This window comes from Homo sapiens, chromosome 5, assembly GCF_000001405.40.
Source record: "Homo sapiens chromosome 5, GRCh38.p14 Primary Assembly".
Taxonomy (NCBI): domain Eukaryota; kingdom Metazoa; phylum Chordata; class Mammalia; order Primates; family Hominidae; genus Homo; species Homo sapiens.
This window is the reverse complement of record NC_000005.10, coordinates 130,360,682-130,386,621: the sequence shown is the minus strand read 5'-3', so window position 1 is coordinate 130,386,621 and position 25,940 is coordinate 130,360,682. Positions and strand designations below refer to the sequence as shown.

The following is a 25,940-nucleotide window of genomic DNA, read 5'->3' as shown; positions in this document are numbered from 1 at the left end:
CCCCAGCCAATATACACACAAAGACGATGCAACTAATCCTCTCAGAAAGCAATCTCAAGTTTATAGAACAAATCTCTCTCTTTACATGTATTCTTTTCCTTCTAAATTTTTCTCATTTGAGCCTCTGAGAAGTTCTATATTTGCTATTTATCTTTCTATTTAAATTTCTCTATAAAGTCATCCAAATTCTCAAATTCATAAACACAAAGGAAAATGTTTCAGATCCTCTTGCTTGACCACTAGGTGACATTTCACACCATTCATCACTTCTTCCTTCCCATAAACCTTTCCTCCCTCAGTTTCTTGACTCTCTCGGGGATCCCCTGCTCCTCAGCTTGTTGTTTATGTGATGCTGATCCTCAGGCCTTCTGCTTTCTGTTTGTCTTTGCTCTTTGAGAAACATTAAACTTTCCTTCTGCTTTAGCTCTCACAATCATGGAAAATATGTAGCAGTTGAAGATTCTTGCCACTTTATCCTGTGCTACATGCCCATGAAATAAAATAGAATGCATTTATAAGTCTTTCCTGATTTATAAATTCTCAAAATCCATCACATTGTGAACCAGGAATAGGGTTTATTTCCCCAGGTAAAGTCTGAAATCATGGGCAAATCTCACCAAGGATGTGGGAATAAACCTAATGAAATGTAAACTGTGTTGCCTCTCACAATACCTTTTGCCAGGACAGAGCTCATAGATGGTTCAGCAGCTTTGTTTTAAAGAATGGCAACCTAGTGCTCCCTGTTATTGCCAGGAGTTCTGGGCCTTCACGTTAGCAGTTAGGCTAAAAGGGAAGCAACACAGGGAGGAGGGTATAATGAGGCATGTTCGACTCCCACTTCCTGTCAGGGTCTGAATGTTTTTCTGTTTTGGGTTCTTCTTGGCCAGGAGGTGGGTTCCATTCAGTTAGCTGAGGGGCTTAGAATTTTATTTTTGGTTTACAATTGGAAAAGTAAATGCCAACTGAGAGGACAAAAATCCTTATAGATATTACATTGGCTGGGCTTCTGTGATTATTCATATCAAAGTAAAGATAAGATTGTTTATTAGGGGACCATGAAATTTAATCAGTGAAGACATGTTAGAATTTTCACTGAAGAAAAATTGTAAGGAAGTATCATTTGTAGAGGACACTATTGTGTCAAGGGGATATCTCTTTCTTATGCTTTTATTTTTCTCGGTTAAATTTCTTATTAACATGTTTATCAACTGAAGTTATGGCAAGAATTACATTTCTACAATAGGTAACAATGCTGCAGGAACAAGACCATGTTTAATGGATTATTCCTATCTCTGTTAAGCTTTCCTCAAAATAATTAGAAAATACTGCATTCACCCGAGGATAAAACATTCAAGCAGAAATGACAAGATAAATATATGCGAGAAAAGGGGACGGACTGCTATGTAACTCGATAAATTGTCTGGCATATTTATTTGTTTTCCATTATGTTTAAGGTGTTTCAAAGGATTATGAAAATGAGATAGAATCAAAATGAGAGTTCTTCTCTTGTAGCAAATGACTTTTCAATACATCAGTTAATTGAACTGTTTTCCCACAAAGAAGGCCGCAGACAGTATCAACTATCAAAACTTTTAGAGAAAAATGTTGCATTCTTGCTAAAAATTAGGGAAAAAATCCTGTTACATTTAGTTTTATTAAGTTACAAGAGGAAACTAAGCATTATTTTTAAAATGAAGATAAACTGCTGGCAAAGCTACATTCTCCTCACTTATTTTAAATAATTTTATTCATTCTTCATTGTCTTAGTGAGGCAACCATCATTGATCATTCTATTATGGAGAATACTGTAACCAATATTAGCACTTGAAAAAAATATCTTGAGGATTGAGAGTCTGAATTTACACCAATGTATCCCATAAGCAGAGAAAGTGTTGGCAACTGCAGCCAGTACCACCCTTAAGTCAGGGCAAGAGACAAGCTCACTGGGATAATGTGTGCTTCCCCCATGTTCCTGGCACCAGAGGAACATGGCCTGGAACCATGTTCCTGGCACCAGAGACCCTACAATTCCTTCACTATATGGTGCCAACCCACATCCAAGTACTGTACCAGCCTCTTCCCAGTTTCACCTTCATGAATTTAGATTACATGTTCAATGTGACCATACCTAGCTCATACGAGTGACCAAAGAAGAGAAGTGTGAGAGAATGAAGCTTGGGAAGAGAAAGTAGGTGGCCCGTGGACCGGCTTTCCTCCTGTGGTCACATCTGCATTTTTGCTCACACTGTTTTCTCCATATGATATTCTCCCTACTCTCCTGGTGAATCCTGACTTATCTTTCAAGGCTGGTTTACTTAAGCACAACAATAATTTTTCTAATATGTTATTACATGTTACTATTTATACATGTTACTATTAGTTACACATGTTACTATTATTGCCGTTGTCATTTGATATTACCTGGGTTTTTTTGCTACCTTTCAATTTCCCATCTGAGCCTTTGAATGCTGACAATATTTTTTTAATTTTTTTTATCCCTACTGACTTCTCCAGTGCATAAAATAAATTATCATATGATGGGCGTTAGTAAATCTCTTTGAACTAAATAATGATAACATATTATCTATTCAAACAAAATTTGGGATTCTAATCAGCTATTCGGTTGGTTACTCAAATGCATTTATTGTGTAATATTCTTGTCATTGTGTAATTGCTATTTTAAATGTATCTCCTGGAACAAGTGGTATTTTCATTGACATGATATTCTATCCATTAAATTGTCATCTAAGTACAAGAGAAAATGGTAAGAAGTATGATAATATTTATAATTTCAAAAAGTTCTGATCAGTTGTTGAACTCAAGTAGTCAGAAATCAAAAGGATGAGTGCTAATAGAAATAAATGCAATGGTGTAATGAAAGTTTGTCTTGTAGGCTAATCCATGGAGACTTCATACTTGATAGCATGATTTGACCATTATAGTAAAAGGAAAAATTTCATTAGTGTGTGTCTTATACTATTTTGTGGAAACTGTGTCTTGTATTATTCTGTATAACTCTGTGTAAATTTGTTCTTGTGAAAATGCTAAGTAACCACAGATACAGTTTTTTCTTTTAACTTTTAAGTTCATGGGTACATGTGCAGGATGTGCAGGTTTGTTACACAAGTATATGTGTGTCATGGGGGTTTGTTATACAGATTATTTCATCACCCAGATATTAAGCCTAGTATCCATTAGTTATTTTTCCTGATCCTCTCCCTACTCCTACCTTCCACCTTGTGATAGGCCCCAGTGCTTGGTGTTCCCGTCTATGTGTCCATGTGTTCACATCATTTAGCTCCCACTTAAAAGCGAGAACATGCCATGTCTGTTTTTCTGTTCCTGTGTTAGTTTGCTAAAGATAATGGTCTCCAGATCCTCTCATGTCCCTACAAAGGACATGATCTAGTTTTATTGAGAAAGTATCAAGAAACCTATCAGTCCCTAAATATTTCTTCCCACTAATTACAATGATTTGAATTGTGACTGGGGCTGTACTTAGTCCTGAACATATGATCATATTATCAGTAGAAAAAAGGGTTGCCCCAAATAAAACCCATGTATTGATAATATAAAAAATGTATATTTATAGCCCAAATCTCTCCTCTGGGTTCTAAATTCCAATTTAATTCTTAATATGCTTAATTGGATACCGCGAAAATGCCAAATTCAACATGCAGAACAGAACCTTTTGTTTCTCAAATACCAATTTTCCACATAGCAGTAAATGTTCTATCATATACCCAATTTCTTAAGATAGAAACCTAGAAGCTATTTTTCCTTCCAGTTTTTTCTTGCCTCCTGCTTACCATGATGTCCAATTTGTCAGAAAGTTTCAATGATTCAAGTTTCAGTCAATTTTCCTCTAAGTATATTATGAATTTATCTTCCTTTCTTGTCTAAAGCTACCACATTTGTCTATCATGTCATTCCTCATATGGACTTCTTCAGCAGTCTCTCAAGCGATCTCCCTGCTTCCACCCTTGCCGCCTCTAATCCTTCCTTACGCATAATCTTAAAATGTGAGGCAGATCTTATCCCTTCTCTGCTGAAAGCCTTTCTGTTGCACTTGGAATAAAAATGCAAGTGCCTTCCTGCATCTGATCCTTCTTGCTTTCTCCCTGGTGGGTTACTCCAGCCTTATAACAATACCTTCATTGCTCTTTATACTTCTGCCACATTTTTCTTCACTGAGTTCTTCTGCTTGTCATTCACTTTATTCCAGTTTTTACGTGGCTACCACCATTTAATTATTCAATTCGTAGTTTCAATATCCATTTCTCAAAGAGATGTTCCCACATATAATGTAGCTTCATTCCACCTACTCACACACATTTTTCTCCATTCCTTTTTATGTCTTTCATAGCATTTACCCAAATTTACAGAGTTTATTCTTCTACTAGCAATTATGTTCATCTCTCTTATTCTGTCAGAATGAGAACCACGTCTGTTTGATTTACTAAAGGATTTCCATTACCTTGCATGGTTCCTGTTGTATAATAATTAATATTTGTTGAAAAATAAGTGTATTTAGGATAGATTTACTAACATGTAGCCTACTGAAGCCCCCTGAAAAATATTCTAATGTAAATCATACAGATGTTTTCCTCTTAAAACTTTATTAAAATAAGATGGAATACAAATATATAAACAAAGAAACAACCAGGCAGTGCAGTTTTAAATTTAATTGGTAAAAGTAATAGGTTTTCCAAAATATCTGTCCATAGGATAGTGAAAGCGCTTTTGCTATTTTCAAACTACATTGGTTCTTATCTTTATATTTGAGGAAGATGCAACTCTTAACATGTCAAATTTTATCTATTAGTTTCACATTTTACCTTATAATTTAAAAGTGACTTCCGTTGTCACTGGGGTATCTATCAAAAACATGTCTATAAATATCCTTTGCTCATTTTCTTGAAACGCAGTGTGAAAGAATATTGTAATTCTTTGCAATTTCATAAAAATAATAGTCAAGCTTTTTTTCTGAGAAAAAATCTACTATATCCATGCTTGCTTTTTATAGTTTGGTTTTGGTTAAACAACATAATAGATTAAATAGACTATGTTGTGATATAAAGACAGCCAGTTTAATATATTAATTATGTGCTAGATTTTCCCATGTACCTATAAACAAAATGTGTGCCCAAATACTCAAAATGAAATGGATATTTAAAATGACAACGATAGATGGCCAGATTAAATGAGTTAACTCAAATCTTAATAAAATTCCCTTTTTTGCTGAAATGGTTAGGTAATTACAATAGAAAATGCATTTTAAGCCCAGATAGCCCCAATATTGCATTTGTTTGCTGTATTTTGCTTTAGACACAGTCTATATTTTACCATTATTATAACACCCAAGAAGCTGTCTTTAATTATAAAATAAAAATCATTCCATTCTGTGTTATCTCTACAATTCAGTCTCCAGGGGAAAGAGTTCTAGCAAAAAAAAGGGCCATGTATGTAGTAATTTGAAAAAAAACCATGCTAGATGAGGTATGAAATGGGACAAATCTTAACATTTATATGTTTATTTTTCCTTTCTTCTGAAGGTTCTTAGTGAATAACTGTATTCCTATGAGACAAAGCAGAGTTTACAATAACTGAATTACGTTATAGAAAACCATGCACTTGGGGTTTTAATATTTTAATATTTTTGTTTTGAAGCAAATCTTGTGATTTTTCTATGTGTTATGAGTCAAAAATTTTGAGACACTAATAAGTAGGAGGGAACAGTTAAAGGATTTTTATAGTTCTCTTTATTCCCACTTAAAATAAAATCAGCTATTATTCATAATGCTGTCCACCATCTCTGCTTGGTAGGGGCAAATTCAACAGTCCATGAATCCTTGGAGCCAAGATGTGGTAGTTTTAATATGTTGGAGGCAGAGAAATTAGGGAGAGGGTGGTTTACAACCTCCACTTGCCTGAATAATTGAATACAACGTGATAGTTTATTTTTATAAGTTGTCCGTGGTCTAAGAGTGCAGTGGTTAGAGGTGAAGCAGGGGATAGAATTTATCTACTACCACACTATCATTTCCTGCAAAGTCTTCAAACAATTCTTAAACAGAGGAACAGACCTTTTCTCAAATGGATTTAATGAGATTTATCATGCAGTCCATGAAGTGAAAAATCTAAAATCCCGGAGATATATATAAAATATTCAACTTTTCTGAGTGAAAACTTGTATGTATCTTAAGAAAAGGGAACTCCTTTTTAGGGTAATTTTGTAATTTTTTAAAATATTATCTTTTCCTATATGGCGGGAAACATTATGTGACAAAAGAAGAAACTAAGGTTTCCCCCTAAATCTCCCATAGAAACACCAAACTATAAAATAAAAGCTGGCCGGGCGTGGTGGCTCACGCCTGTAATCTCAGCACTTTGAGAGTCCGAGGTGGGTGGATCACGAGGTCAGGAGATCGAGAGTGTCTTGGCCAACATGGTGAAACCCCGTCTCTACTAAAATACAAAAAATTTGCCAGGCGTGGTGGTGCATGCCTGTAATCCCAGCTACTTGGGAGGCTAAGGCAGGGGAATCGCTTGAACCCAAGAGGTGGAGGTTGCAGTGAGCTGAGATCGTGCCACTGCACTCCAGCCTGGTGACAGAGCAAGACTCTGTCTCAAAAACAAATTAATTAATTAATTAATTAATTAATTAATTAAAAAAATAAAAGCTGAGCCAAAATATCAGCTAAACCTCTATTAAGTCTGGGATACATTTTATCATATTTAGAAATCATTTTACATATAAATCGTATGTAAAGTGACATATTTAAGCTATCAGAAATATTAACATCACAGATAAGTTTCTAATTTATTCTGTACATAGTAAGATATTACAGATGGAGAGAGAAAAGATATACATTCAAGGATCAGACATTTTTCATAACTCCACATGATTCAAGTGATTGACAGTTACAGAATTTTTAATAGCAAAGACAATTCACAAAAAGGTTAAATTCATAAGACTAGATGCAGCTTGTCAAATAAGATTAACAAAAACATCTAGTAATCCAAAGTAAGAAAAGAAGGTGAAGTTTAAATGGACAGCAGAACACTTGAATTAAATCAGCATATCTCTCTGTGAATCTAATGAGCTTACATTATGAGTATTCTTTGATTCACTCCAGCAATCCAAAATTGCTTAAGCATTCAGCCAAGCAGTAATTTTATTTGAAATTACTTAGACTTTATGTGTGCTGAATGACCATGGCTTGGATTTTTATTTGTGTTGAATTAACAAAGTTGACCTTCATAGATATTAGCACCCTATTTAAACTTACCTTTATATAACAAATTCCACATTTCTCTCTAAATACGCTGCATAGCCTTAACAGGTACAGTAAGACTCAAAATACAGTCTCATCAGCTTCACTCAAGACAGGTCATTAGAATATTCACTCTTCTTATAGCCATGCTTTAAGCCATATTTATATGGCGCTGTCAGTACCTGAATAAAAACAGTGATATTTTTGATGTTCAGACCCATCCTTATGAGATCCGTAGCCATGAGGGGATGTGAGACTAAGTAATCCTATGGAAGGTCCAATCTTGACCAACCTGTCACCAAGGACACTTAACAAACTTCTGTACTTTTATCATGAGGAATAAGGGTAAATCTGTGAAACTTCAGTCATATTTCAGCCAATGTAAGGAAGAATTCTAAAATGTTAGCCATTCAACATGCCTCAGAAAGTATGGCTGTCCTCACTAGAATTTTCAGATAGATGGTGAATGGCCATTTTGTCTTAGATGTCAAAGAGATTTTTATTCATCCACAGACGGTGATACAGGTAACTGTCAAAGTTTCTTGAAGTCTAGATTATATTTCATAATATTTAGCTCTAATTCTTAAAGAAAAAAATTCTTATCCTCAGTTGTCACAGAAAGAGCCATCTGACAGATGTGGGCAGCTAGATTGTCTGTCAGAATGTATATTTGGACTGGCATGTATTATAGAGTGCACCTTGGGTAAAGTCCTATGATGTAAAGACAACAGACAGGTTGGAGTGGCTAGGCCTGTGAATAGAAAACAGCACTAAATAATCTCCACTGTAGATGTTCAATCTTGGCCAAAAGTCCAAGGTCTTCATCAACCAATCTATAAAATGAAGGGATTGGATGTTATTTTATTCATCAATTATGTCTGGAATGTTCATTATATTTCAAGTCCTGCAGATACAAAATGTAAAGATATAATCTTTAAAGTACTTCTGGTCAAGCAAGTAGAGCCAGGTGAGCAATGGCGTCTCAAGGAAGGCTTCCTGGAGGAGGTGAACTCTGAGTCTGAAAAAGACAGAGATTGAGTCAGGGAGCATACTGAAAACACGATTGTTATGAATCCAAGCTGGAAAAGTCATGGTGGGTGAAAATGTGTGTGATGGAGTTGGAGTAATGGGGAGAAATGATGAGAGGCTCCTTTGAAATTTCAGCCCCCCTGAATGTATTTCTATGCCATTGACTTAAAAAAATAATGTTTTAATTTTCCACTCAGTATGATTTTCTTCAGGATAAAAACCATATTTCAATGTTGTTCTTTCCACTCTACCTCCCTAAACCTCCGCCTTACTACTACCACTTAGAGTGACTGATAATCACAGACTCTCAATAAATAGGTTGATGAATGAATGCTATACTCCTTTTCCCCTAGGCAAGGATGCAAAGTTAAATAAATAAATAAATTAATTGATTAATTAATTTTTAAAAATTGAGTCAGAGGTCTCTAGGCAATTAACTGCCCATTGGTCTTTTGCATAAACAGGTCTTGGCCTCTTGGCCTCTACCCAACCCTGTAAAGTTTCCATAGCTTCCCTCTACTCCCTCCCAATTTCATACCTCATAAAGGTCTAAGTTGACAACTGATATAATTAAGGGACCTCACAGTAAAATGAATCTTTACATGTGAAAAATACTGTTTTGCATCCCCCAGCCTATGGGAGGCAGCACTGGTACTCAGAGCAGCAATGAGGCAATAATTTGGAAGCCTGAAAAATGAAGAATCCAAATGAAATCAAAGCTAGTTGGTAAGCCTATTTTATCAAGCAGTTCTGTGTCTTGGGATTTTTTTCTGCAGGCTCACTAAATCTGCTTTACGTTGCTGCCATGTTTTATACATAATTGTTAATTGTTCCCATGTTTACCCATTGCTCAGTAAATCGCTGGCACTAACTTCAGATAAGTCATGGGCCGGGCGCGGTGGCTCACGCCTGTAATCCCAACACTTTGGGAGGCCAAGGCAGCGGATCACCTGAGGTCAGGAGTTTGAGAGCAACCTGGCCAACATGGTGAAACCCCACCCTACTAAAAATACGAAAATTAGCCAGGTGTGGTGGTGGGCACCTGTAATTCCAGCTACTTGGGAGACTGAGGCAGGAGAATCACTTGAACCCGGAAGGCAGAGGTTGCAGTGAGCCGAGATGGTGCCGTTGCACTCTAGCCTGGGCAACAAAAACGAAACTCTGTCACACACACACACACAAAAAAAGAAGTCATAAAAGTCATATGGAGGAACTATCCAGCAGTCAGGCTAAGGTAGGTATAGTACATGGGGCACAAGATTTGCTATTGAGTATTTCTGTGCCAAGGGCATTAATGAATGAGTGTCTTTAAATGGATACTTGACAAACAATTGCAGAATTTTATTCATTTCAGAGCCAGGGAGCATAAGTATTACTCAAAAATTAACACACACTATGTTTTCATCTAGCACAAGGAGTAGCAAATTGCCCATGTGCCAAGTGAGAAATCTTTCATCAGCCCTGCTAAGGGTTATGTCTTTCAGGATAGTCATTTTTCCTTTGGCTCCAATTCATCCTGATGGCTTAAATATGAGGTCAGGTTCAAAGAGTCTAAATCGGTGAAATGATTTCCTTTTGAGTGGAGGCAGGAGGAGAACAGAGTTATCTGTCCCATCACTAGAATATATTGATTTGGCACTAGAAAGAAGAGAAGTAAAACAAATGGGCTGTTTATGTGACTTCTATTAAGAAACATTTACATAATTCAAGCTAGCAGGGGAAAATGTCACCTATTAGAGGATATGCTTTTGGAAAAAGGGAAATAATAACATTGAGATCTCTCTTTACTGGAGACTTTCAAGTAAAATATGCCTCATGTCTACAGAAAATATATAATGGCATTAGTAATGAAAAACTCATATATAATGTAAGTTATCATTTTGAGAAAGCCAGCTATTACTTTTGCATTTCCTCAGTAAATTGTCACATTGCATGCATTTGAATTCTTACAAGACAATTTTCTCATTATTAATAGAAGAAGGAAATTACAGTATCTTTTACTTATAAGTCACTAGATATTAGTGAAGATTCCCTTGAACTTCCTCTGTCCTCAGTATAATAAACATTGAAAGGCACTTTTATGTAGAGATTATTACATCAACTTTAAAGTTATGCAGAGCTGGATTTAAAGTTTGGCTCCACTAACGTATCATTACAAGGGACAGAAAACATGATTTAAACTAGCTTGAGCAAGTAATGGGAATTTGTTCATATAATTAACATTTCAAGGGAATCTGGATTCAGGTAGAGTTGAATTCAAGGATCAAATTGTATGATCAGAACTGAATTTCTCCCCATCTCTTGGCATGATCTTCTCTCTTCCATGCCATGATTTTTATTAGTTTGTTGGGAGATGGCTATAGCTCCATCTTCTCTCAGGAGCAAACATAGGGATGTTCAGCCAGGAAGACAGTGGGCTTGTAGAACAGAGCTTCAGAAACAGTTGCCCTAAAAATTGATGATTATTATTAGAAATTTAATAAATACATTCTTGGTGATGAAAATGCCATTTTTCATCCCACAACAATTTACTGTGTGATCTTGGGCAACTTATTTAGCCCACCCAAGCCTCAATTTCAATTGTAAAATGGAAATGATATTAAGTACTTTCTAAGGCATCTAAGGTTTAAACAAATTTTTGAAAACTGTTTCTAAAGCCCTTGGTAGAATACATGACCAATAATAATTGGGAAATAAAGCTGCTAAAAAAAGTCCAGAAAGAAGTATGAGTAGGCAAAAGGGGTTCTGATTCCAGGCCCTGATCACAGGACTGATGGTCCTTCTAAAGCGGAACTACATTTCTGTGACAAAAATGCATTTGAAAGTTTGTGACTAAGTGCATGGAATAGCATAAACTTGCCAAAAAAAAATTACACCAGCATTTATGAGAGAGGCAGTATATTTGGCAGAGAGAAATAAAAAGGAAAAATATCTGTGTTCTTGCTATATGAAAAATGCATCATTTGTTATAATCCTTCCACCTACAGAGGAAAAAGAGACAGTCAAGGACAAAAACATAGCTTCATGCATATGCATCACTTGATTATAGAACATTGGTAAAATTTCCTTGTATCTGTTAGGGTCTTCAGCCTGATAGGTCAAAGAATACCCACTGGGCTGGACTAGATGATGAAATTGATGAGAGAGAGAGGAAGAGAGGAGAAAAGAAGAGGAGAGGAGAGAAAGAAAAAAAGAATGATGAAGAAAGTATAAACCAGGGATGTGTGCATTAGGCATTAATGCTGGCAAATATGTGGGGCTCCATATCTTCCTGGAAACATGCTAATGATCTTATTCTGACTTCCTCACAAGCAATATGGATTTGCAGAAGGGCAACAAGGGATAGTTGCCCTGATTAGGAAAATAGTCGAGGGTAAAGTACTGATTCTAAAACTCTCTAATAGTCCTGTCAGTCCAGAACTCAAGGCAGATTTTCTGGAGACAGAGTAGACTATGGGGAAGAAACATGATGTTTCCCCTATTACTTCAGCTATACTCATATAGTAAAGACAGGACAAAAAGTACAACAGGGAAAGTCAATTGATTTGCTATGATAGGCATGGCAATTATCTTCTTTTTCATTTCTGTCTCAGAGTCCCGTTAGGCACAATTTACATTTTATAAGATGACATTTAATATACATGTGTGTTTTTTGCCACAGGGATATTTGAATTCATCAGCACACCATTTGCCTTAGTCTGTTTCAGCTGCTATAACAAAAATAACATAGTCTGGATGGCTTTAAAATGACAGAAATTTTTTTATCACAGTTCTGGAGGCTGGAAACTGCAAATCAAGGAGCTGGCAATTTGGTGTATGATGAGGGCCTGCCTGGATTGTCACATGGCAAAAACTGTCATGTGCGTCCATGTGAAGAGACCACCAAAAAGGCTTTGTGTGAGGAATAAAACTTTTTACTCACCTGGGTGCAGGCGGACTGAGTCCGAAAATGGAGTCAGCAAAGGGAGATGGGGTGGGACAGTTTTATAGGATTTGGGTAGGTAGTGGAAAATCACAGTTAAAGGGGGTTATTCTCTTGTGAGCGGGGATGGGGGTTACAAGGTACTCAGTGGGGAGGTTCTGAGACTCATTGTCTAGGAGAAGGAATGTCACAAGGTTAATTGATCAGTTAGGGTGGGGCAGGAACAAATCGCAATGGTGGAATGTCATCAGTTAAGGCAGGAACTGGCTATTTTCACTTCTTTTGTGATTCTTCAGTTGCTTGAGGCCATCTGGATGTATATGTGCAGGTCACAGGGGATATGATGGCTTAGCTTGGGCTCAGAGGCCTGAGTAAAAGGACTAGGGAGCTTTGTGGGGTCTCTTTTATAAGGGAACTTATCCCATTCATGATGGCTCCATACTCATGACTAATCACCTCCCAAAGTCCTCACCTCCTAATACCATCACTATTGGAGATTAGGTTTCAATATATGAATTTTAGCGGGATATAAACTATAAGTCCATTGCACTGTCATAATCAAGGATGGAGCAACTTGGAATCAATAATTATCAAGAATTACATACTATATTAAAGATGTCCAAGTGATTGTGTTTTCAGAGAAAGAAGTTCAAGAAAGAGTAATTAAGGACTGTAGTCATTCATATGACAAATGAGGACTGGTTGATAAACCCATCTAACATCTAAATTCTGGCTCAGAATATTAATTGTTGAGGAATTACATGGATGGAGCTACTAGCAAATACATTTTACCTCTTACTAACCATGATGGCTGATTTGGGGTATCAACTTGACTGGATTAAGGGATACTTGGGTAGCTGGAAAGGCACTAAATATTCTCAGTGCTTCTATAGGCACTGAGCCTGTCCCTCTTCTGTTAAAAATAAGCCAGGTGGTTTGGCATTAGATTAGAAGATTGAGCTGCCCTAGGTGTGTCTGTGATGGTGTTTCAAAAAGAGATTGGCATTTGAGTCAGTGGAAAGAGTAGAGAAGATCTGCCCTTACTGTGGGCAGGTATCATTTGATCAGCCAGCTAGAATGGAACAAAAAAGTAGAGGAAAGGAGAATTCTTACTGTCTCTTCCAGAGCCTGAACACCCTTATTCCACCCTTGGACAACAGAATTCCATATCCTCCACCCTTTGAGACTTGCACCTGTGCTGCCTCCTCTCCAAAAAACCCTCTCCCCTTGGGGTTCATGGGCCTTTGGCTTTAGACTGAGATTCACCATCAACTTCCTTGGTCCTGAGGCCTTTGAACTTGAACTGAGTCACACTGCTGGCTGGCTTTTCTGGTTCTCAAGCTTGCGTATGGCCTATCATGGGACTTCTCAGCCTCTATAATCAAATGAACCAATTCCCCTAATAAATCCCTTCTGATCTATGTCTCTCTCTCTCTCCATACACACACACACACACACACACACACACACACACACACATATATGATCCAATCATATATATTGGATATATATATGATTGGACTGGGGGGCAGTTTTCCCCATGCTGTTCTCATGATAGTGAGGGAGTTCTCACAAGAGCTGATGGTTTTAAATGAGGCACTTTCTGGTTCTCGCTGACACTCCTGCCGCCTTGTTAAGAAGGTGCCTGCTTCCCCTTCCACCATGATTGTAAGTTTCCTGAGGCCTCCTAGCCATGCTTCCTGTTAAACCTGCAGAACTGTGAGTCAATTAAACCTCGTTCCTTATAATGACCCTGTCTCAGGTAGTATTCTTTATAGCAGTGTGAGAATGGACTCCACTGATGTTACATAACCACCAAATACATTGTTTTCCTTATGCTTTAAACTGTCAATTATCTTTTAGTGGTTAAAAGTAAGAAAAAAATGGCTTTTATTTTTATCTTTAACTTTACCTTTTCCAGTGCTTTCATATTCTTTGTGTAGATCAGATTCCCATTTGTTATACTATTTCTTATGCCTGAAGACATTTATTTACTTCTTGCACTGCAGGTATGCTTGCATTGAGTCTCTCAGCTTTTGTTTTTCCAATAATTATTTACTTTGCCATTATTAAAATATGTATTTGCTACATATTGAAATCTAGATGAGTTTTTTTCACTCAGAACATAAAGATATTGCTCTTTTTTTTCTGACTTGTATAGTTTCTAATGAAAAGTATGCTATAATTTTTACTTTTGTTCCTTTGTATCTAGTAATACTTTTATTCTCTGTATACCTTCAAGGTACTCTCTTTATTTCTGATGTTCAGAAGTTTGACTATAATGTATCTAGGTGATGTTTGGTTTGGTTTGGTTTATTTTCTTTTTAAATTGTTTATTCTGCTAGAGAGTTCTAAGCTTCTTGAATATATGGTCCATTTTTATTTCACTAACTTTGGAAATTCTTGGCCAATACCTCTTCAAATATTCCTCTGTGCTGTTCTTTTGATTCTGTCTTGTTATTTGTGGATTTTAATCACATCTATGTTAAAGTCTTTGGTATTGTCCCACAGCTATCTGTGCCTCACTGGCTTCAAATTCCTCCAGTTCTCGGCTTCTGTTATTTTGTACCCAGTATATGGCCTGAGATGCCAGGGTATTTTTTCTCAGTGTTTCCAATTTCCTCAGCTTTCAGTAGTTTCTGAATGTTTGTGCCACAGAGAGGACATTTTCTCATTCTTTCTTCATTGATAGATTGTTGAGCTCATGGTGGTGCAGCAAAGATGTTTTCAGTTTTACTTGTTCAGCTTCAATACTGTGCAGGGCTTGTGATCCTGGGCCTTGGATAAATGGTCTTTTAAGCACCCCTGCCCCTCCTCTACTTGGCAGTCAGACTCTGCCTATGTATTTGTTGGGTCTTGGACAGGAGAGCTTCCTGTTCCTTCCCCAGTTGTAGCCAATTTCTATTTGGTGTCCATGAAGGAGCCTGGACCAAGTGATTTTTCTGCTCCTCCACTGGGGCACAGGGCCTCTGCCTCTACCCTTGCCTAGAAGCAGTGGATTTTTTTTTTTTTTTTTTTGAGACGGAGTTTTGCTCTTGTTCCCCAAGCTGGAGTGCAATGGTGCAATCTTGGCCCACTGCAACCTCCGCCTCTCAGGTACAAGTGATTCTCCTTTCTCAGCCTCCAGAGTAGCTCGGATTACAGGCATGCACCACCACGCCTGGCTAATTTCTTTCTTTCTTTTTTTTTTTGTATTTAGTAGAGATGAGGTTTCACCATGTTAGTCAGGCTGGTTGCAAACTCCTGACCTCAGGTGATCCACCTGCCTTGGCCTCCCAAAGTGCTAGGATTACAGGCGTGCACCACCGCACCTGGCCACGAAGCAGTGTGTCTTTATATTTTGTATGAGAGTAGTGCCCAGAAAAGCAGTTGATGTTTGATGCCTGACCCAGGGAGCAGCTGAAAACTACCTGTGCACCTGCATCACAGAGGTGGCAATTTTACAACCGCCTGCTTTTTTGTGGGCATTGGGTGGAGGCCTATGAAAAAGACCTTTCTAGTGAACATGGCTCCCCGCTTCTGACTGGAGGTCTCAGTTATTCTGAGCTTATCTGCTAACCCTTGTTAGTTGGCCTACTTGTTACATAGCTCTAAAGGATGTTATAGTTCGTTGCAGAGGATATAACCATTGCCATGAATGCACAGGGAACCTGGGAAAGCTTTTCTGATGCCCTAGAGCTCAAAGAGAAATATGTGGCTTATTTAAAATTAATATAGTTTAAGACATCAATTTTCAAAGTTTTCAGCAGCATAAACCCTTTTCTATAAGAAATGTTAAGTGGAACCCCCAAAACCAGGAGTAATTTACAAAGTCAAAATTATAATTGATTTTTTAAAGTGATTTCAACACTGTGAAAGCAATAGATGAGAGGCTTTTATAGTAAAGTCATAGAAAATCCTTGGTCCTTTTACCATGATTTGAGCAAAGATTTGGGATATCAGTCCAGTCAATCTGTTTATTTGAACTCTCCAGCACAAAGAGAAGAAGCCTTACGTCCTCCTTATTACTCTTAGGCAGTGACTACAAGGTCTCAGAAGTCTTGCCTTAAGTCTATACTTGATTCTAGGTAAGTTTGCTTGATAGTTCAATTAACTATTTTATCTCTTCCAGTTATCGGTTGCCAGAGCTGCATCCCCAAATGATAGTGAGATTTCTACTAATGTCAAATAATCACTGTTAATACTAATTTTCTTGAAATCCTACTCTCTCTAACCACTGTTGGTCCCAATTACTGTTAGTCAATTTTTAAATTTTAAACGACATAACCCAGGCTAGGTAGTTTGAACAACAACAGCAACAAAAAACACATGCATTTGTAGATTCTATGTCACAACGGAAAATCAAGTCTGGGGACAATGTAAGGAGAAACATTGACAACATAGACAGAATCCAGTGAAGACTCACTGCTGCCTCCCAAAGACACAGTCCCTAGAATAAATCTGTTTATTCTGAGCACTTGATGTTTAGACTTCTGCCTCTTCTCTCATTTGAACTCATGTCAGAATGGTAATTGCTTCTTCACATCATCTACTTTTGAATTAATGTCTCATAAAGGTGCATCTGAATGGCACAGGCTGGGTTACATACATGACTGAAGGGAGGCTGGAGAAGTGATTGTGGACTTTCTGCCTTAGGGATAACAAAACCAGGGACAAAAACTCTCCTAGCCTAGAAGAGATGTTAAAAAGGTTTTAGGTAGACAAAAAAGCATAATACTTGTCTCCTGTAGATACCATTTTCTAGAACAAAATTATTATTCAAGATTACTCAAAATTATGTATTTTGATTATGAATTTCTTGTACAACTCTCCGTACCCTTATCCCGGAAGTTTGTATTGACTTTTCTGTTTCTTCTTGAGAAAAGATAAGATAAATAGGACAATAATAAATATTATCTCTAAAATTGTTCACCATCCTCATCATATTATTTGTTGCAGTGAGAATCCTTTTTTTCTAAGGATATTCTTCTTGAAATCCTAAGAACTCCCCCATCAATTGTAGACTAGTTATTTTTCAGGTTTACTGCCCAGCTGTCTTCCTCAGATTTCTTTCCATTTGCTCTTTTGGTCGAGTTGTCTTATTTCTTGGATTCCATGTATCTTCTTTATTGAATTTCCTTTGTTTTCAGAGTGTGCTCTTATTTTCTCAAAAAGAGTGCATGGGGAAAAACTTTATGACTGAAAATAATTTCACTCTTCTCTTGTACTTGATTGAAAGTTGGGCTATGTATAGAATTCTAGATTCAAAGTTATTTTAACTCAGAGCTGTGAAGACATGGGTTCATTTTCTTCCAGCACTTAATTGCTGAAACACTGACTGTAATTATTATATTGATTATGATGATTCTTCTAATTTCTTTGGGGTTAAGTTGTTTATATAACTAGGTAATAACATTATTGGCTATCAAGCTGTGATATTTTAACTACAGAAATAGAATGTTATTGGATATGAGAAAAATAAGTGAAGATAAATGTAAACTATACAAGTCTTTTGTTAGCAAGTATGTTGGGTTGTCTCAAGATGAGAAAGACAAATAGAATGTTAAAAATCAAAACAGGAGAATGTTGTATATTGATTTCCCATACTTTTTACCATCTACAATCTTATAGCCCCTTACACTCTATTTCCATTCCAGATACAACCATTCCTCCATCTTTGAGCACAACATAGTAATATATTCCACAACAAATATAGAACCTATTCAATTTCTTTCAATGAGAGCCAGTGCTTAGTGAAGAATTCTGTACCATTCAGGGTTCAACTAGAGAAGCAGAACCAGCAAGATATATTTTATATAGGTATACATTCCTGTATATATACATATGTGTGTTTGATACTGGTAATTGACTTACACTATTATGAGGGCTGGTTAAGCAGTCTTTTGAAAACTATGTCTCTGTATCTTATGTTGGAGCTTGAAGTCCACAGGCAAGGAATCAGGAAGGGAAGATTGCAAGCATGTCAGAAACCCCACAAGGATAAACTGAAATGCATGTCCATTCTTGTTGCCTCTGACCTTGGTTAAAAGGGTATCCTGCAAAGGCCTTTATCTCAGAGCTAAACACCTACCTGGCTCAGGGGTCAAAAAACTGAAGATGAATCCAGAAAAGGCTAAACAACCGCAGATCTAGATGCTGCTTTATGCCATTGAAATGATGCAGCAGATCAGCAACAGCATAGGTCAGCCATAAAATGTCACTTCCTTCCCTAGGTCTTCCAAATCTTGCAAGAATCTCCTTTGTGCTTCACCCTAATTGGAAATGCATAAAAAAGGGAATTCTGCATAATCTAGTACAGCCTAGCTAAATGACACTTTAAAATGTCATCATAGTCCCCCCAAAGTAATTTTAAAAAAATTACTTTTATCCTAAAATTTTATTCACTGAAAGTAGAAAAAAAGTCTTTAACAATTCTCTCAGGAACTTCTGGTGGCCATCAATATGATTTCACCATATGCCTAACAGAGTGACTGAAACTAAAACCTGGAGGTAATTGAATGGTAAGATGTTTTAAAATACAGAATTATTTAATACTGGTTGCCTAAATGTTTTCCAAAGGGAATCCTTTTTTCTTTAATCCTACTTCTATACCAGGCACTTTTGAATCATACAACTCTCATTGAACAAAACCATGATGTTAGCATTTACAAAGTTTTTCTTTTTATTTGCTGTGGCGGAAGTGTCATCTTTTGATTGATCTAAAAGTGGAATCGCACTATTACTAGATAATTTAAAATCACTTTAAATTATAATATGTCTAGTTAAGATAAAAGCCCTGATTTCTCTTGCTCTAATGGTGTCATAAGCACCAAGACTTTATAGAAGCATTAATAATCAAACTCACATCTTGGTCTTGTCAACATAATCGAAGACTAAAAAGGTGAATTAAAGCTGAAAGCAATGGTTGGAACAGTTCTGGAATCATTCTGCTACTGCTTATATAGCCTTTACATGGTGCTCCAAATGTATAATCCAAAATGGAAGGCAAATGAGATTCAGCTGGACTCAAAGAGACACAGGGAACTTGATGAAAGCATTGCAAAATCCAGTGGACCCGTCTATCACAAATTGTAAGCCATGTTTTAAAATTAAAACAAAGGCCCTGGCAGAGAAATTGCCAAAATGCTGTTCTTTAATAATGAGACAGAACTGATAGTTTGTTCAATTTACCCATCAATTTGTCCAGAAGCTTTTGTTGGGAATGAAAATTGTCTGAATGCTAATCACTTTATACTCTAAAGGTGCCTAAATCTCCAGCCAGAGTGTATCATGAAGAGATTAAAATGTTCTTATTTTGGGCTGGGTGTGGTGGCTCATGCCTGTAATTCCAGCACTTTGTGAGGCTGAGGTGGGTGGATCACCTGAGGTCAGCAGTTCAAGACCAGCCTGAACAATAGGGTGAAACCCTATCTCTACTAAAAGTACAAAAATTAGCTGGGCATGGTGGCAGGCACCTGTAATCCCAGCTACTCGGGAGGCTGAGGCGGGAGAATCGCTTGAACCCAGGGGGCAGAGTTGTAGTGAGCTGAGATGGCACCATTGCATTCCACCCTGGGCGACAGAGCAAGACTCTGCCTCAAAAAAAAAAAAAAAAAAAGTTCTTATTTTTGTAGAGATTGAATTTAAGCAATGAGTTTAGAAAACTAAAATACGTATGTGTGTGTGCACGTGTGTGTGTGTAAAATTTCCTCTGGTTAAGGCTGTTATTAAGAAAGAAATACCCTCTAGGCATCAACAGGATTGTTTTAAAGCTCTGCTTTGTCACATCTTGCATGGTTTTGATGTCACAAAAAAATAGAGTTTTTTCTAATTCTGAGTCTTATTATTTTCAAAGAGCCAGATTTCGATACATTTAATCATACAAAAGACCTCATATGCTCTTATCAAAGTGATTTAATTGCTCAATCTCTCAAGACATAGCTATTTTAGTTGGTGTTATGAAGCTAAATTTCTTGGAAAGCCTCTTTGAATCTTCTAAAATATTAACTAATGTGTTCAGTTAAAGGAAATTGGGAAAGCAAACTAGGTATTGAGTCTAATTTAAAATATCTTGCTGATGAAGCGATATCTGCACTCCCATGTTCATTGCAGTATTCTTCACAATAGCCAAGATATGGAAACAACCTAGGAGTTCCTCATCAGATAAATAAAGAAAATGTGATTTATAATTACACAATAAACTGCTATTCAGCCTTGTAAAGGGGGGAAATCCTGTCATTTGCAACAAGATGAACAAACATGGAGGACATCATGTGAAGTGAGATAAGCCAGGCACAGGAAGGCAAATACTGCAGGATCTCACTTACACGTGGAATCTAAACAATTTTAACTCAAGGAAGTAGAGACTAGAATGAAGACTACCAAAGGCTAGGGAGAGTCTGAAGTGGGAGAAGGGAAGATGTTGATCAAAGGGTAAAACAGGAAAAATAAACTTTAGTGAGTTATTGCACAAATGGTGACTATAATAAATAATAATGCATTGTATATTCCAATTTGCCACAAGATTAGATTTTAAATGTTCCCCCCAAAATAAGTATATAATGTATGGATTTGTTAGTCCGATTTAATCATCCTATATTGTAAACATATATCAAAACATCCCACTGCAACCCCATAAATATATTATTGTTATTTTTCAATTAAAAATAAGTTTTAAAATTAAAAAAGAATATATTAAGTGGTTTAAAAATTAGTTTGAAAGCCCCCAAAAAGAGAACTAGTATATTTAGCCCCATCAGACTAATTACAAATTATATGTATGGTATTAGCTTCAGTATTTTATGGATGACTCTTTTTAAGCCAATGATTCAAATGGCTGTTAGGTTTCTAGTGGTAGTTCAGGATTTCACAAAAAATAATTCAAATTTCACAAAGAACCTTTATACTATTAAAAAAATTTTTAAAAAACACATATGTATTATGTACCACAGTTTAGCTTATTAAAGACAATCAAGGATGCTAATTTTATGTCAGATTTCTTCATATTTATGCTGTTTTCAAGGAGAAAATCTTTTCTTGCTAATTCTGTTTAACTGAAGAATATCCTAAGATTTCAAAACAAACTGCTAAAAATATTTTACCATAACCACTTACTTGCTGATGTAAATGGGATTTAGAAGCATGTATTAAACTATTGCCCCAAACTCCAAATTTTAAATGCCTGTGTTTATTAAAAAAGGCAAACTTATTATTTTTACTTTTTTTTTTTGAGACGGAGTCTCGCTCTGTCCCCTAGGCTGGAGTGCAGTGGCGCGATCTCAGCTCACTGCAAGCTCCACCTCCCGGGTTCATGCCATTCTCCTGCCTCAGCCTCCCGAGGAGCTGGGACTACAGGAGCTCCCCAACACTCCCGTCTAATTTTTTTTTTTTTTTTGTATTTTTAGTAGAGACGGGGTTTCACCGTGTTAGCCAGGATGGTCTCGATTTCCTAACCTCGTGATCCGCCCGTCTCGGCCTCCCAAAGTGCTGGGATTACAGGCGTGAGCCACCGTGCCCGGCCTATTTTTACTTTTTAATAAGTAAATAATTATGCATTTAGCCCCATATAGCAAAATTATATGAATAAATATCAAATATTAAGTGATTGCACATCTCTAGTCCCAGCTACTCAGGAGGTGAAGATGGGAGGATCACATGAATGAGCCTGGGAGGTTGAGGTTGCAGTGAGCTGTGATCACACCACTGCACTCCAGCCTGGGCAACAGAGTGAGATCCTGTCTCAAATTTTTTAAAAAAGAAGTCTGGGACTCTAAAATTTCATAAAAATACTTCCATCTATATCTTACTTGAAATAATAAATCTAAATAAAATGATATAAACATGTTGAAAAAAAGATACAAAAATATATGTCATAAGCAAGCACAATAAAATCTGTAATGATAATTATATCAGATAAAATAAAATTCAAGGTGGCAAGCTTTAAGTACAGAAGTTTATATTGATTAAAAAAAGCAATTCTTGAAGAGAAAATAGTTGTGAGCATGTCAGTTACATCTGAGAATGGCACCTGATGAGGTTCTGTGTGGATCCCATGAGAAAGCCATCATTAGAATTAATGCCATAATACAGACATGCCACAGCTTTCTCTCAAGGCACTCTAACCAACACTGCCCTTTCTGCTATTCATTAAACAAAGCCAACCATACTTCTGTTTTAGGGCCTTTACACCCAGTTTCCCTGTCCGAAATTTTCTTACCCCATGTATCCTATGATATATTCTATTACCTCATTCAAGTCAATGCTGAAATGTCACTTCATCAGAGAAAGTTGTTCCTGAACACTCTGTGTTACATAGCAGCCTCTCCACCCCTCATCCTTGCCCTACTTCTACTGTCTAGATCCTGTATCATAAGCTGACATTATATGTTTATTTATTTATTCATCCATTTGTCTATCTCATCCCAATAGAAATGATGCCTCATGAGGGAAGGAACTTAATTTCTTTGGTAATTTCTTTATCCCCATCCCTAGAAGAATATCTGAATAAGCAAAAAAAGAAGTGCAAGTGTATCAGCTGTAGAGTTTTTTCACTGAAGAACTGGGAGGAGACTGAGTCCAGTCGCTCACGCTTAACCCCAGCGCTTTGGGAGGCCATGGCAGAATTGCTTGAGACCAGAAGTTTGAGACCAGCCTAGGAAGCATAGTAAGAACTTGTCTATACAAAAATAATAATAATATTTTTAAATGGCAGATCCTATAACAAATACCTAAAAATGTGGATGTGGTTTTGGATTTGAATTATGGATAAAGGCTGGAAGGGTTTTGAGGCACTTTATAGAAAAAAAATCTCCATTGTCTTGAGGAGACTGTTGGTAAAGATAATAACATTAAAGGTGCTTCTGTTGAGGCCTCAGATGGAAATGAACATGTTATGAGAAACCTGAGGAAAGGCAATCCTTATTATAAAGGGACAAAGAACATGGCTGAATTGTGTTGTAGTGTTTTGTAGAAAGTAGGTGAATGTAGACATTTCTAAGCAAAGTGTTGAAAGTATGGCCTGGTTTTTCCTTACTGTTTATAGTAAAATATGAGAAGACAGCTAAATTGAATAAGAAATTGTATAAGAAATTGGTAAGCAAAAGGGAACTAGAACTTGAAGGCTTGAAAAATTCTCAGCCTATACATGTTATACAAAATGAGAAAACACATTCTATAGAGAATATCCAGGGTGTGGTTGGATGATCCCTTACTGAAGAGATTAGGCATGTGACCCACAGATCCAATCAACCATCTCAGCAGAAGCCAGGAATAGAGATGAGTTAACCAGGAAAGATCTGTAAATGATCCGCTTATCTAATGGACTGGACCCCATGAATTGCATGGGGAGGCCAATAGGTTTCTGATAATTTTATACAAGCAGAAATGCTGCTAGAGTAAACGGAGATGAACAGAGATGGGATAAAATGGAAGAAGGCTGCCAGACTTCTAGAATTCTACCGGAAAGAAATAGGCCAATAACACTAACATGAATTGTCCTTCCAGAAAAGAGAACAAACACCTGGAAGGTGGTTCAGAGCATGTCAGGGCTGCCACTGCTACCACAGCTCAGAGTGCACAAACCTGTGTATGGGACCATCTCCTGCTTGGTTCCAGAGAGTGGGGTCATCTCCTTGGATTCAGAGGGACTGGCCCTCTTCTCAGAGCAGAAAGGGTGGGATTGCCAACATGGTGGGCCTGGAAAGTGGGGTTACCACTACTGTGGGCCTGTAGGACAGAACAGGAAGCAAAAGAGGATTATTTTCAAGCCTTAAAATTTAAATGGAATTTGCCTTGTTAGGTTTCAGACTTGTTTGGAACCTGTGATCCTTTTCCTCCTTCCTATGTCTTCCTTTTGGAATGGGAATGTTTATCCTATAGCTGTCCCACCATTTTATTTTGGAAGCAGCTAACTTGTCTGGTTTCACAGGTTCACAACTAGAAAGGAATTTTTCCTCTAGATGAATCATACCTCCAATCTCACGCATACCTGCTTTAGGTGATATTTAGATGAGATTTTGGACTTAGAGTTGCTGCTGGAATTGGTTAAGACTCTCAGGGATATTGGGATGACATGAATATATTTGCATGTGAAGGACACAAATTAGAGGATACAGAGGGTGAAATGTTACAGGTTGAATTGTGCTCCAAAATTCATGTGTTGAAGTCCTGACCCTCAGTACCCTGGGATATGATTTTATTTGGAGATAGGATCTTTACAGAGGTAATGGAAGTTAAAAGGAGGTCATTGGGATGAGCTCTAATACAATATGACCTGCGTCTATATAGAAAATGGAGATTTGGATACAGATATACACAGATATGTATAGAGAGAAGATAATATGAAGATACAGAGAGAATATCATGTGAACATGAAGACAGCCATCTACAAGCCAAGGAGAGAGACCTGAAACAGATCCTTCCCTCACAGCTCTCAGAAAGAGTTTACCCTCCCAACACCTTGATTTCAGACTTTAGCCTCTAGAACTTTGAGACAACATGTTTCTGTTATTTAAGCGACCCAGTTTATGATACTTTGTTGTAGTAGCCTTAGCAACTATTATAGTAGAAATGTAAAGGATTTGATCATATTAATTATACATTAAATAATAGATGTCATATGTAAAATACACTAACGTTAAATACTTATCATACATAAATAATGCCTGCATATCAATAAACAAAAAGGAACTGACAAACAAATGGACAAAGATACCTAAGTAATTCGCAAAAGGAGTAAAAATAGCCTATATTCATATGAAATGATATTCTACTTCACCAGAAATCAGAGAATACAAATTAACACAGCAATATATTTCAGATTCATAAAAATTAAAGTGACTATTGTGAGGATGGTATGTGAGAATTAGGCATAGGAATTTTAATACAATTATTGATGGCAATATACATTTGTGCAGTGTGTTTTGGAATTATGTATTGAAATAAGGGTTGTAAGTATTATTTTGATCACAGAGGTACAATTTTGGAATATGCTTCATAAAAAATCTATGTATACCTACATATACATTTTCTTTATAAAAATATCTACACACATGTATAAAGATATTCATTATAGGATTGATTGTATTAGTAAAACATTAGTAACAATTTAGATGTTAATCAGTAGGAGAATTATTAAATGCATTAAGACACCTTCGTAAAAACTCATACAGTAGTTAAATAAGATCTAGATGCTGTGAAATGGAGAGACTGCTAAGTCACCATGTCAACAATAAAAAGACATTTAAGTAGCATGATTTTACTTAGGTAGAAATTTCTATTTTTTAAAAAAGGTCACATATATTTGTATGAATGTACACATAATGTCTGAAAGGGTGCACATTAAACTTGAAAAAGTGGTTAAGGGTCCATGGGATGGGATTAGAGAGAAGTTTGGTAAAGGAGAATCCCTACTTTTTAACTCTAAATCCTATAATTATATTATATTTATATTATTATTGTATATTCATTATTTTTAAGTCTATGAAAAACATAGAAATCTGTACGATATTTCTCATTATGATATCCCTGGGCCCAGGAAAGTATATAACAAATAATAAATATCAAATAAATGTTTCGGATTCAATATATAGGAGAAAGAAAGAGGCAAACATAAATCTTGAAAGAAAATCATTTAGAATGAGTTTCCAAAGGCAAAAAAGAAAAAAATATGTAAAGAATAAGAGATATTTTAATAGGGGAAGGCAAAGAAAAAGGTTAAACATGATTACATCTTA

The 25,940-nt window shown here is 36.6% G+C and overlaps 1 long non-coding RNA gene across 1 annotated transcript in view; it reads right to left on the bottom strand.

Moving 5' to 3' along the window:
- LOC105379171 (uncharacterized) overlaps positions 6,726-25,940 on the bottom strand; it is a 42,488-nt gene continuing 23,273 nt past the window's right edge. Inside the window, exons 2-4 of the long non-coding RNA XR_001742880.1 lie at positions 23,788-23,931; positions 18,299-18,479; positions 6,726-8,295 (exon numbers count right to left, since the gene is read on the bottom strand). This is a non-coding gene — a long non-coding RNA (uncharacterized LOC105379171). The remainder of the gene's footprint in view (positions 8,296-18,298; positions 18,480-23,787; positions 23,932-25,940) is intronic.